At 34.7% G+C, this 15,401-nt stretch overlaps 1 long non-coding RNA gene across 2 annotated transcripts in view; it reads right to left on the bottom strand.

The window, feature by feature from the left end:
* LINC01507 (long intergenic non-protein coding RNA 1507) overlaps window positions 1–15,401 on the bottom strand; it is a 210,026-nt gene that overhangs the window by 22,327 nt on the left and 172,298 nt on the right. The gene's annotated exons all lie outside the window — the stretch shown is intronic.

Below are 15,401 nucleotides of genomic sequence, written 5' to 3'. Positions count from 1 at the left end.
TACTTTAAACATGTTAAAAGAATTAAATAAGACCATTTTATGGACTAAAGAAGAGTATTAAAATAATTTCTCACCAAAGAGAATATTAGTAAATGAGGAGAAATTACAAAAATAGAACAGAATAGAAATTCTGGAGTTAAAAAGAATAATAACCAAAATAAAAATTTTACTAGATGGGCTCAAGAGCAAATTTGAGCCGGCAGAAGAAAGAATGAGCATACACAAAAACAAACCAATTGAAATTATCCAGTTTGAAGAACAAAAAGAAAAGGAAAAAAGGAAAATGAACAGAGCCTCAGGGACCTGTGGGATATCACTAAGGATATCAACATACACAAAATGGGAGTCCCAATAAGTGGGTAGAGAGAAAGGGGGCAGAAAAGTGTTCGAAGAAATAGTATCCAAAAACTTCTCAAATTTCTTATAAGACACAAATCTTCATATCTAAGAAATTCAACAAATTTCAAGTAGGATAAATTCAAAGACATTCACCCCTGGACACATCATTCGAACTGTCAAAAGAAAAAGACAAATAGAGAATCTTAAGCAGCAAAAGAGAAGTGACACATCATGTACAGGTAACTTCATAATGATTTACAGCTGATTTTTCATGAGAAACCATGAAGATCAGCAGTCAACAGCAAGACAAATTCAAAGTGCTGAAATAAGTCAGCTCTTAATCAAGAACTCTACATCCAGAAAAATACTTCTTAAAAATGACAGACACATTAAGAGAGTCTTGCATAAACAAAAACTGAGGTATTCTTCATTGGGACACCCATCCTACAAGAAATCCTAGAGAGAATTTGAGGCTGAAATGAGAAAATACTGGAGAAAAACTCAAATACACATGAAGAATTAAGAGGACTCGTAAAGGTAACTGCATTGGTCAAATGTAAAAGACAGAATACATCTTTTTTTATTTGTCAATATTTTGGTCCCCTTTGATTTAAAAGACAACTACATAAGGAAAAATAGTAATAAATCTGTGTGAATGGGCATATACAAAAATTTAGTTAGTATTGTAACACCATAAAGAAAATGAGAAACAAAGAAGCTACCTATAGAGGAACAAAAACTAAATAATATTGGAATTAAGTTGATAATATTTCACACTAGATTTGTGTAAGTTGATAATTGGAAACCACAGTGTAACTATTAAAAATATATTTCAAAAATGCAGTAGAAAACCCAAGAAAATCAAAATTATACACTAGAAAGTATCTATTGACAAAATAGATGGCAATAATGGAGAGATTGAGAACCAAAGTAAGTATAAAGAATGTGGAAAACAAATAGCAAAATGGCAGATGTAAATTCTACTTATCAATATTTACTTTAAATATAAATGAACTGAATACTTCAAGAACAAGGAAGACACTAGAAAAAAAGATAAAAGAATGACATGATACTTTTATATGCTGTCTACAGGAGATACACCTTAATTTCAAAAGCACAAATAGACTGAAATTAAAGGATGGAAAAGGGTATGCCATGCAAACAGTAGCAAAAACAGAGTTGAAATGGCTACAGTAATATAAAACAAAATAGACTATAAGGAAAAAGATGTTACTAGGGACGAGGATGGACATATTACAATGATAAAAGAGTCATTCCATCAAGAAGCTATAACAAGTATAAGTATATATGGGACTTACCTGCCATTTGGGATTAACAACATAGTTCCAAAATACATGTAGCAAAACATGACAGAACTGAAGAGAGAGATAGATGAAGATTTCAATACTCCATTTTCAATAATGGATAGAACAACCACACAGATGATCAGTAAGGAAACATAGGACTTGAACAACATCATAAACTAATTTGGACTAACAAACGTCTATAGAACACTCTACCCAATAAGAGCAGAATATGCATTCCTTTTAAGTGCACATGGAACATTCTCTAGAATAGATCATATGTTATATGGTCCCAATATATATTAAAACAATATCAATAATTTTAATTGAAATGATACAAAATATATTTCCTAAAATATATTTCATAACCACAATGGAGTGAAATTAGAAAGTAATAACAGAAGGAAATTTAGGAAATACATAAATACATGTATTTTCAATGACACACTCCTAAACAGTCAATGAGTGAAAGAAGCTATTATAAAGAAAATTAGAGAAAACTTTGAGATGAATGGAAATGAAAGTACAACATGCCAAATTTATAGGATGCAGTGTAAAGAGTGCAAAGAGAGAAATGTATGTCTATGAACACCTACATTAAAAAGGAGAATAATTTTAAATCAATATGTATGTATACATCCATCTTAATAAACTAGAAAAAGAAGAGTAAATTAAACTCAAAACAAGCAGAAGGATGAAAATAAAGATTTGAGGGAAATAAATGAAGTAGAGAATACAAAGACAACAGAAAAAAACAAATATAACCAAAGTTGGTTATTGAAAACATAGAAAAAATTGACAAAATTTTAGCTAGACCAACCAAAAAGGGTATGGGGAAGAGAGGAAATTAAAATTACTAAAATCAGAAATGAAAGAGGAGGCAATACTATCAAGCTTACAGAACATATTTCAAAGGATTATAGAGAAATACTGTGAACAATGATATGCCAACAAATTAGATAACCAGGAAACAGACAAACTCATAGAAAACAAATTATTGAAGCTGATTCAAAAGGACAGAAAATCTGAATAGACAGTGATATTTAGTTTTATGTGTCAACTCGACTGGGCCACGGGGTACCTAGATATTTGGTCAAACATTATTCTGAGTGTTTCTGTGAGGATAGCCTTGGATGAGATTAATAATTAAATTGTAGACTGAGTAAAGCAGACTACCCTTCCTAACGTAAATGGCCCTCATCCAATAAGTTGAAGGCCTGAAGAGAACAAAATACTAACCCTCTAGTGAGTAAGAAAGAATTCTCCTGCCTGATGGCCTTTAAGGTAGTATATCAGCTTTTCCTGGTTCTACAGCAGCTTCCAGCCTTTGGACATGAACTGGGACATCTGCTCTGGCAGATTTTGGACCTGCCAGGCTCCATAATCATGTGAGCCAATTTCTTATAATAAATCACACACACACACACACACACACACACACACACGCGATGGATATATATATATATCCATCGTGTTTCTGCTACTGCAGAAAACCCTTACTAATGCATAGGCCTATAACAAATAAAGATATTTAGTTAGTAATCAAAAAACTTCCCACAAAAAAAATCTGAGGTTCAGATGGCTTCACTGGTGAATTCTACCAAATGTTTGCATCAAAGGGCACTATCAAAAGTGTGATAAGACAATGAACAGAATAGAAAAAGAAATTGCAAATTATATGTCCAATAAGACTAGTAGTCAGAATATTTAAAGAACTCTCACAACTCAACAATAAGAAAATAACCTAATTTAAAAATGGGCAAAAGACCTGCACAGACACCTCACCAAAGAAGATATACGAATGGGCAAAATGGAGATAGAAATACTCTGAACATTATTAGTCTTTAGGGAATGCAAATCAAAGTCACAAAGAGATACCACTTCACAGCACTAGGAGGGCCATAAGAAGTGAAGTACTGATACCTGCTACGACATGGGTGAATCTTAAAAACATTATGCTAAGTGAAAGAGCCAGCCACATAGGACCACTTATTGTATGACTCCTTTAATATGAAACATCTAGAAGAGACAGATCTATAGAGAGAGTAGATTTCTGGTTTTCTAGGGCTGGAGACTATGAGAAGATTTGGAAGTGACATCTAAAGTTTTGTGGGGCTTCTTTTCATGGTAATAAAAAAATAACTCTAACATTTATAGTGATGATGGATGCAAAGATGTGTCAATCCACTAAAAGCCCCTGAGTTGTATATAATATAAATGGGGGATTTGTATGGTATGTGAATTGTATCTCAATAAAGCTGTTTTTAAAAACTTGTGAGATTCTATTAAAGCTGTAATAGCTTTATATGCATATATGAAAAATAAGTTAAATGATTGAAGATCATCTTCACAAAAAGGTCTAAAAATTCACTTCGTAAGAGGGAATAGGCAAATGGATACTAACTATGATAAATTTCTCAAAATAACTAGAGAAATGCAAGATATTACTACATACCCATCATAATAGTTAAAATGTTAAAAACACTGTCAAGTCAAAATTCTGGCCAAGTCCTATGATTACTTCATGATAACTAGAACGCTGATATAATGCTGGAGGGATTATAAATTGAACATTTTTCCTTGGAAAACTCTTTGGCAATAGCTAATAGAGCTGAATCTGTGCAGACTTCTGATGCAAAAGTTCCACTACTTAGAGGTATTGTGAACAGAAATGTATACATACAAAATAATCAGACCAGTCCAAAGTGAGGAACATTATGCTAAGTAAATACCCAGAACTCTTCAAAAATATTAAAGTCAAAAAAGACAAGAAAAGGTTAAGGAATTTCTTTTGATTAGAGGAGATTAAAATAACCTGGTACCTGAATGCAAGATTCTTAATTCTAGATCTTAAAATAATAATCATTGTTTTTAAAATGGCAGCCATAAAACACATTGTTAGTATAAACAGAGAAGTCTCAATATTGATGGTATCTTATTAAATAATAGTATTCTATCAAAGTTACATTTCCTGAGTGTGCTAATTGTACTTACATAGAAAAAAATGCCCTTGTTTTTAAGAGATAACTCAATAAAGTACTCAGAGGTGAAAGAAATAGAAACAAAGAGAAAATGTGATAAAATGTTAATAATTGGTAAAAGTAGATGAATGGCATAGGGCTATACACTATACGTAGGGCATAGTACTATTTCTCAACATTTTTTTTAACTTTTATTCTTTCCCAAATAAAAGATTGAGGAAAAATTTTAAAACTCCATATACATGTAAACCAAAAAATGCATGCACAATATTCATAGTAGTAATATTTTAATAGTCAAAAATGTAAAAGTCCCTGACATTCACCGATAGTAGAATGAATAAATAAATTGTTATAATGAAATATTTTATGGCACTGGGAATGGATGAATTCATGCTAAAGAACATAACATGAATATTTTTCATGAACATAATAGAGACAGTAAGAAGCCAGACACAAAAAATGGAATAGAGAATTTGATTACATAAAGTTCATAAACAGGAACACTGATGTAGATAGACATTAGGACTGTGGTTACCTTTGCAGGTATAGTGGCTGGGATGGTGCAAGAGGGGGCTTCTGGGGTGCTGATAATATTTTTAATCTGAGTCATATTTATAAAGTTATACTCACTTTATAAAGTTATACTCACTTTATAAAGTTATATTCATCAATCCATACATTTAAGAGTAATGCATCTTTCTACACATAGGTTATTCTTCAATAGATATATTTTTTTAATTTGATGGCTTAAAAATTATGAGTAAGAATCCAATATAAAGTTGCTGATGTTTCCCCAAAATATCTTCAAATCCCAATTGAAAAGTACTGTAATTTGTCAGGCACTGTGCTAGTTATATTCACATATTATCATTTACATTTTTATCCCAGTTCTGTGAACAAATCAGTCTGGATGCTTTATGCCAATGAGAAAACAGAAACCCACAAAGGTATTGGCTCAAGATTCATCCCCAGGTCATACAGCTTTAATTTCAGTGACTTTTATTCCTCTTTACAGAGCCTTACATATTACAAGTTACAATTAACTTTGAAAATTACCTTAACAATAAAACATAAAATTTATTCTCACCATTTATCTAAAATCACCCTGCTAGCAACTATCTACTAACTAGGTCTTCTGTCTATTGTGACAAAGCCAACAAGCTGTCACCTAAATCACTTTGCTTATTTGTGTTATTATTTAGTCTGTGCTTGTCAGTGACAGCAACTAAATACATCGCCAGCTTGGAAGAACAAGTTAAAGAAATTATGGAGATCGTCGACTAGCCAGAGACAAAATGAAAATTGGTTGGTGCAGAAGGAGACTTAAACTATGGATTCTAAGGTTAAATGTTTCCTTAAAAAGCCTCGGCCACAGCACTGCAAAGTTAATCAGAAAAGTTTTACACTTTGCAATCAATAGTGCTTCCTAGTTAAAATGAGTATTAAAGAAAGAAAAAGGTGCTGAAATTTGTTCAGGTAAAATAAAACAAACTTCAAAATGCTGAGTGTGATCCTTTCTCTTCAGGTGGAACATTGCCATATTATAAAAGGCTTCTGCCTCACATCTGACATTCTACTTGCTAATATTTAAAATAAGTATCAAATAAAATGTGTTAAATGGGCAAAGCAAACTTCTTCTCCACACTACTCCTTTCCTCTAACATGATAGCTTTTACTCCAAATAGCCAGTATTCTTTCCTCTTCTCTGTCTCCATGTGCTCTTGAAAATGATCTGAAATTAGGCATTTATACCTCAGAAAGAGCACATTTACGCTTTTGGAGTCAGATGCCCCATCATACAGCCTTTTTTCCCCACAGTGAAAACATCTTCCAGCAGCTCTTTGTGTAGACAGAAATAGAATGCTGCCTTAATGCATATCGTAAGTAGCACCATTTGACACAGGTGAGCAGAACAGCCCCTGGCCTGGAGAGGAGCAACATTAGTTTGAATTAGCAAACAAAAGCATGCATTGTGAAATGATGACATCTGAGGAAGGGAAAAAGATGTCAAAGGAACTCAGTGGTGCTTCCAGGACAGAAGACAGTTATATTCAGCACATCTCTCTTCTCTCTAGGATGTAGAGTGAAGGAGACAGGGTAGGATTGTCAAAGCTCAACAAATGTCCAGTGGAAAGGAATGAGAACGTCAAAATGAAGCCACTAAGTAAATTGCATGTGTTGAGAAACATGATCCCAATGGCCTTCTTCCTGATCATTGCTGCAACCTGAACATTCTACATCTGCTAGAAGAAGCTACCTATGACAGTGACTAGTCAACTCCAGACATGACATGTGGACATGACCTCCAGAGACCAGCTCCACAATTGTGAACAGTGCTGACTTGCCAAGCCTCTAATTCAGGATCCAGAGAGTGTGGCTGCTCTTCTAGTCACTGAGTAGCTTCACTGCAGAGGCCCTGCTACCTGCTGTAGGTAACTCAGTCTCCTTTCCACCCCATCCAGTTGCTTCTTCCCAAGGCACGGGCATACCCAGTGTGCTTGCTGAACATGAAGGACAAGCAGTAAAGAGGGACAATAAGAGATGACAAAAGAAACAAATAAGAGCCAGATCTTGTATGACTTTGTAGTTACAGTATGAATTTCAGCTTTTATTTTGAGTGAGATGGGAAGCCATTGGCAGTCTGTGTATAGAAGTGACATCATCTGATTTATATTTTAACAGGATTATTCTAGCAGCTGGGCTGAGAATAAATAACAGAGGAAATAGTGGAAGCAGAAATACCAGTTTAAAAAGTAATGACTAATAGAGGGAAAATATGATGGTAGTTTGGAATGAAGTGCTTGCACTGAAGGTGCCAAAGCCAATATTTATATACTTTAATGACTGCAGCTTTTTTAGTATATTATAATATCTGCTCTCTATTCTTACTTTAAATTCTTTCTAGATTTCTGTTGATGCTTTTTTCTTTCAGATGAACTTAGGAGTTCACCAAGCAATTTCAAACACAGAAAAAAAATCATATCTATACTTCAATTAGAACGATCATAAATTTGATCCATTTGGGAAGAACATTCATCCTTACAATATTGAGGCATCTTATTCAAAACAATTTTCCATCTTAATTTGTGTCAATAAAAATTATATTTTAAAACAAGTCATACATATTTTGAGTTTATTTACACATGAAGCATATTGATTATTGTATAGTGCATTATATACACAGCTCACTAATTTTTTCTTACTAGTTTTAATAGTTTTAGGGTCAATTCTCTAGGCAAATATAGATTATCTGAAAATAGTAATGCTTTCAACTGTTTTTACAACATGAAGGTGACTCCTAATATTGAATAATAGACAAAGAACATTTAAAAGTTATGATAAGTATGTTTAAGAACTGGAAAAGTGATCTTAACAAATGAAAAGATGGAAGATATCAGCAGAGAATTAAATACTGTTAAAAACAACTAAATGCAATCTGGAACTAAAAAGTGTAATCTTAAAATGAAAAACTTATTGGATAAGCAAAGCACATTCAAAACAGAAGAATGGGTCAGTGAACTTGAAGGCAAAACAGTAAAAATTATCCTAGCCAAAGGAAAGAAGAAAGATGAATTAAATAAAATAAACATAGTTTAATGACTTATGAGCTAGTATTAAGTAGTATAATACATGTGTAACTGAAGTCCCAAAAGGAGAGAAAAGAGAAAACATGAAAAAAAAATTGGAAGAAAACATTGCTTTAGAAATGTCAAATTTTGTTCCAAAAATACAAACAAAAAGATTTAACAATCTCAGACATCCCAAAGTAGGATAAAACAAAGAAAATCATAACCAAGCACAGCAAAGTCAAACCGATAAAAATCCAAGAAAAGTCCTGGTGTAGTGGCTCACGCCTGTAATCCCACCACTTTGGGAAGATGAGGTGGGTGGATCATGAGGTCAGGAGTTCAAGACCAGCCTGGCAAACATGCTGAAACCCCATCTCTACTAAAGATACAAAAAATTAGCCAGAGCCAGGCATGGTGGTGCACGCCTGTAATCCCAGCTACTTGGGAGGCTGAGACAGGAGAATCGCTTGAGCCTGGGAGGTGGAGGTTGCAGTGAGCCAAGATCACGCCATTGCACTCCAGCCTGGGTGACAGGGTGAGACTCTGTCTAAAAAAAAAAAAAAAAAATCGGTCAGGCACGGTGGCTCACACCTGTAATCCCAGCACTTTGGGAGGCCAAGGTGGGCAGATCACGAGGTCACGAGATCAAGACCATCCTGGCTAACATGGTGAAACCCTGTCTCTACTAAAAATACAAAAAATTAGCCCGGCGAGGTAGCGGGCACCTATAGTCCCAGTACTCAGGAGGCTGAGGCAGGAGAATGGCGTGAACCCAGGAGGCGGAGCTTGCAGTGAGCCGAGATCGCACCACTGCACTCCAGCCTGGGCGACAGGGAGACTCCATCTCAAAAAAAAAAAAAAAAAAAAAAAAAACAAAGAAAACAAATCTTGAAAGCAGCCAAAGGAAAAAGACACGTTCTGTACATAGAACAAAATGAAGAACTGCTAATTTCTCATTAGAAGCAATGGAAGCCGGAATACTGTGAAACAATGTTTTCAAAATGCTGGAATTAGAAAAAAAAACTGTATCAAGAAAACAAGAAGGCTGGGAAAAAATATTTGCAAAAGACATATCTAATAAAGTACTGTTATCCAAAATATACAATGAACTCTTATAACTTAGCAATAAGAAAAATAATCACCCCAATTTTAAAATGGGCAAAAGACCTGCACAACTCATTGAAGATGATAAAGAGATAGCAAATAAGCATATGAAAAGATGCTCAATGTTATGTCATTAGGGAACTTCAAATTAAAACAACAATAAGATACTACTACACACTTATTACGATGGCCAAAACTTAAAACACTGACAACACCAAATGCTAGCAAGGATGTGGAACAATGGGAACTGTCATTAATTGCTGGCGGGAATGCAAAGTGGTAAGCTGCTTTGAAAGCTAGTTTGGCAGTCTCCTACAAAACTGAACATACTTTTATCATATGACTCAGCAATCACATTCCTTGGTTTACCCATAGGAGTTGATCAATAGAATGGAAAGCTGTTTTTAAACAGTTTTAAAGATGAATAAAATAAAGAAAATACTGGTAAACAAAGTCAACCTTGGAGACTGACAATTCCAAAGTCTGCTCAATGCATGAAGGATGCTGACAAGGAAGGCAGAAGAAAAATAATAAGCCGTGATCTTTTTATTTATGCATTATGTTTTACAGGCAACTTGTTTGTGTCATGGTTTGTCTTCAGAAGCTGTTAGCATAGTGTCCTTATCTTTGAAAGTCTGAAATTTTACCACAAGGTATACCTAGATGCAGATTTTTTTTCTTTGTTTTCATTGATTTTGGTAGGCACTTGGGAAGCACTTTTATCCCAAAGTTCCATGTTTTACTTTATCTTTATCAAGTTTTTTCAATATTATGTGTTTATTTCCTGTCTTCCAGTTACTGTTCTCTCCTTTTGTAATTCTTATGAAAAGAATATTTTAAATTCTATATCTATGATTCCTACCTCTTAACTATGTTTTCAAAGTACTTATTCTTTTGCTCTTTGGTGATAAATATTGGACAATTCTCTGGCTCAATATTTCTGTTCAACAATTTACTCTTCTGCTGCCTCCATTCTGCTACTGAGAATTGAGCTTCTGTTTATACCCATAATTATATTTTTTACATTCTAGTTTTTCCTTTTTCATGAAAAACTATTCTTTCCTCCTGATGAAATATGCTTTATTTTTATCTATGTATATGAGTTATATTTATTTTAAGTTTACTATACTACTTTCTATTTTATGGTATTCATTTTCCTTAAATATGAGTGGTGTGAATGTGTGTGTGCACATGGGGGTCTTTGCTAATTTTCAACCTGATATTCCATGTTCACCTGTTGATAGGTGTGTGTGTGTGTGTGTGTGTGTGTATCTTTGTGTTTTAATGTATTCTTCAGCCAGTGTTAGGGGAGTGATTTATTCAAATAGTCATACCTACTTGACTTTGTCACTTCATTATTCTTTAAATTACCTAATCCACTGATGACACTTCTCTGTTTCCCATACCTACATGTTATTGTAATTCTAAAATATCCCTGCTTCACAATTTCTAGAGATGTTTTTGAAAATGAGTTATGCAGATACATGTACCTAGTCTTGCAGTTTAATCCATTTCTTGTATATAATGTTATAATAATAAATTTATTCCAATATGCAAGACTCATATTTATTAAGTGTGTATAATGCATAGAGAGTTTTTTGCTGGTTAGTAGGAAATATAAAATATAGAAAGAACTCAGAAAAAAAGAACTCACAGTGTAGGGAGATGGACAAACACGTAAGCAGCTCATTATAACATAAAATGGCATGTATGAAGATAATAGAAATATGTAGAAAGTATATAGTGTGGGCCAACCGTGTGTCAAGGGAAGGGGGGGAACAGTTTGGCAGCAAGGAGTATTTTATTACTAACATTACTTAATGGTGATGATTAAAGCAAACCAACAGTTTTATTATTTTTAAAAATTTTTCACCAACAGTAACAAAAACAGGACTTCTAGCCTGCACAGGTGACAGATCACTCCCACTGTTCCTCCTTGTTGTGCCAATTGTGGAGACTCATAAAGGCCAGTGATGTGCTGCTCTGCTGGGCCTCATCACTTTAGAGATGAAAATCTTTATAAGTTGGCATGTTAGAAAAGGTGAGGTTTGAGAGGAGGTGATAAGACACAAGAATCGTAAAAGCTAGACACGAAGGCTCTTATTGGTGATTTGGGTACTGAGGATGAAGGTGTGGACAGGGTCTAGGGTGACTCTTAGGCTTTTGATTGGCAAGACAAGTAAAAAAGGAAGGGCAGGTTTAGTGGGATGAAGCATGCAATGAATACGAGATACCCACAGAGCACTCAAGAAAGTAAACTAATAGCTCCTTCTAGAAACAGATTCTGAATTTAAGAAGGAGATCTGGGTTAAAACACAAATGTTGTTTTAGTAACATGTTATCAACAAATGATGCCCAGGTGTTTTAACGTGAGGAGAATAACCTGAACTGCTTGCTTAAAATGTGGATTCTAAGGCCCTCTCCATTTAGAAACTTTCTTTCAGTCAGACACAGATGGGACACAAATATCTGCAATTTTTAAAAGGCGAGTTGATCCTGTAAAGACGGCCCTCTGACAACACTTTAGAAAATTCTGCTATAAATACATCAAATCAATGGCCTTGTCTAAAAAGACCCTCTTCTACATGGCACCAGCAACGCAATAAAATTTGTCAACCCCATGAATAGTTATCAACTTAATCTAGCTCCCACAAATTTTCACCAATCCATTAGTTGTCTCCTTTTTTATACCAATATTTATAACATTTTGGTACCATTTTAGAAAAAAAATAGTGAATATGCTTATCACATGGTATCTTTTCAAGAAAATAGAATGTGCAAATACATATTTACATAATTGATATTATTCAAGGGCTAAATATTTGCACACTTTAAATAAGGTCAAAGTGAAAAATGCAAGTTATCGACAGTTACAGAGACCAGTATAGTTACCTTACTTTTATACAAACAGAAAAGAGCTGAGCTTACAAGGATATATTTGAAAACGTGAAGGAAACACTTTGGAAAATTTGGGAGAGGAAATGAGGATTTTAGGGACAGTGACTTAAAAGGATGGGCAGGATTGGAAGTAAGAATGCCAGTATTTTAGCTTTTTTATGTGTTGCTATAAATTCTTTGCAGGAAGAATTTGAATTGTCTATAAATAAAATAACTTATGCCCTCTCATTTCCCTCTGCAAATATCTATAATGTCTCTATGATGAGCGATCCCAAAGAGTTGCTGCTACACAGAAGGAAAGAGATGAATATTGCCACTGACAAGAATTGATACACTGTTTTTATTTTCTCAGACATCTATTAAAATTATCAATGGATCAATTTATTTTCTGTAGATTCAAAAAAGTAATGTTAAGTAGCAGGCTCTGGAAGCTGTGGGAATCTTTTCCATTTATTATTTCTGCACTACCTGGGAAAATATGTTCCTTTGTTGTATTAAATTGTGGTACTGGAGTTAAGTCTTTCAATTGAAAAGAAAACAAGAATGCTGGAGAAGGAGCTTGGGAAAGTATTTCAACAAGTTATTTACATATTTCCCAAAGCAATTGCCAATGTCTGGCAAAGGAGGGCAAAATTATTTTTATGTATTCTGGAGGGATTAATGGGAGGCTTTATATGTTACATATCAAACCTATCTCGTATAAAATACATAGCACTATTTTAAGAAGTTCAAAAGGGTTCTTTCTGGCTACATAAATAAAACTAGAACTTGCAGGAAATACAATATGCTCATCCATTATCTGAATGTTGCTTTGTTTTGTTTTTGTTTTGTTTTGTTTACAAGACAACTGTTTCTGCTTCTTGTCTCTTCAACTAAAATAATTTATAGGCAAATTGAAGCTGGACAAATAGAACCATATCACTGAAGCTGATGTACAATGTCCATGAGGAAAACTTCACAAAACTAGAAAATGTAGTTCTAAGAATAGAAGACTACGAGGGTTGTCTCTCAAATACCTTTAGGGAGCGGAATGGAGGTAATGCCTTAGTGATTTATCTATTCTTGATTTAAATTCAAGGAAATGGACCAAATAGAAATGAGGGCCCACAGTTATGCATGTGGAATGATTTAGTAATAAAATGATTGATAGGTATTCAAATATTTTATCAAGGGAAGTTATTAAAAATAGGACAAACCACACACTCTGCATTACCCATTGTTAAAGCCTAAGGAGTAATTTTTTAGAGGCAGAAAAAAACTCGATTACCTGCTATAGTTTTCCTAGACCTAAAATTTTATGATTATTTATAGCAGTTTTTCAAGTAAAGAAAATATTAATGTTTGTTCCAGAGGTCTTTCCTGACTCCAACCCTATAGCAGGCCTCAGGCTGCATGCCCTTCCATCACCATGATTTTTAAATTCGTTTGGCCTCATTCATTATGTACAGTCCATAGTCAGGTGCCATTGATTCACCCTGCAGAGACTTTGTCTTTTCCAGTTCTCCCTCTCTACTCTACAGACAATTTCTCATCCCAGCCTCTGTGTTCTCCCCTTTGGAGACATCAACATTGCTTTCCTACCCTACAGGCTACTTCCAGCTGGCAATGGTATCAACATTTTTCCAGTCACTTGAAAATGAAATATGAATTAGTTTTGACATCTTCCTTCCTTTCTTTCCACCTCCATATATCATCGGAGACCAGGTCAATTCTTTCTTCCTCATGTGCCTTGAATCTTCTATTTGCCATTTTCTCTGTGTACAAGCTGAACTTCTGTTCCTCTAATATGGACTTTCTTAAAATTGTTTAAAGGTTCATAGCTTTCCTAAAATGGTTTAATGGTTCATGGCTTAAATCTCATTAAAATAAACATCATTAAAATCTATCTTACATCACATAAACAATGGTCGACTTACTTCAAACTATGTGTGATGGTTAAAAAAAAAAAATCACAGGATCCCTAAATAATTTAAATAATAAAACAGTGAAACATGAGCTTAAGGTCAGACTTTCTAGCTTCCAGTCTTGTTTCTGCCACAAACCTGCTTTGTGATCTTGGATTTTGTGTACTCATTTGTGCTATGAGCAAGTTAATAAGCTTCAAGGACCCCCTTTCTCTTAAAGTCTAGAATCCTCTGATAAATTTCTTTGAAATGAGATCCATTAACTACTGAGACTTGCTCTTCCTGGCTCTTTTTTCTGTGGCAACTGTCTTAGTCCATGTGTATTGCTATAAAGAAATACCTGAGACTGGTTTTTACAAAGAAAAAAGATTTATTTGGCTCATAATTCTGCTTGCTGGACGATTGGCCATCTGGTGAAAGCCTCAGGCTGCTTCCACTCATGGCAGACGGTGAAGGGAAAGCCAGCATGTGCAGAGATCACATGGCCAGAGAGAGAACGAGAGATGGGAGAGGTGCCAGGCTCTTTTTCATAATCAGCTCTCACAGAAACTAATAGAGCAAGAACTCTTTACCACCAGGACAGCAGGACAGCACCAAGCAATTCATGAAGGATCTGTCCTTGTGGCCCAAACACCTCCCACTAGGCTCCACCTCCAGCATTGGGGATCAAATTTCAACATGAGGTTTTGGGGGGATAAATATCCAAACCACAGCAGCAACTATGTCCCATGTCTTCTGGCCCCATTTCCTTCTAGGACCAATAATTTTTCTCAGCTTCCACCTTAGAGGTTTTCCTTCATTTACTTTGGTGTTCTTGTTGTACTGTATTTCTCTTGTATTTTCTCTTCCTAGATTATGCATACTCACACTGCATTTGGATTTTTCTAATATCCTGCACATTTACCCATCAGAACATTTATCATGGGGTGTTGGGACGATGTTTTACTCATGCATATTTCCAGTGCCTGGCCTAGGGCCTGAAACATAAAGATGGCTCATTAATTTCTTCAAGGGAACTAAGCCGAGAAGGTAAACACTATGGCACCACAAATGATTGCATCGCTTGTGCATTGTCGATTCAAATGGATCCATGGCAATTCTACTATGATACAAGCAGAAAGCTGGTGCTTGTTTCTCATGGCCCTTTTTTTCCAATGAAACTGTCCCCAAGGTTTGATTTTAAGTGATCATTCTTCTTCTCTTTCCTCTCCAAAGCATCGTGATAGCAAAAACATTATTTGAGGCACCAAAGGAGGACATCAAATCTAACAAGCAGGAAACATAGTAAATATTCTCAGGCTT

This window comes from Homo sapiens, chromosome 9, assembly GCF_000001405.40.
Source record: "Homo sapiens chromosome 9, GRCh38.p14 Primary Assembly".
In the NCBI taxonomy this organism is placed as follows: domain Eukaryota; kingdom Metazoa; phylum Chordata; class Mammalia; order Primates; family Hominidae; genus Homo; species Homo sapiens.
Note: the sequence above shows the minus strand (reverse complement) of the source record. Positions and strands in the feature narration are given on the sequence as shown.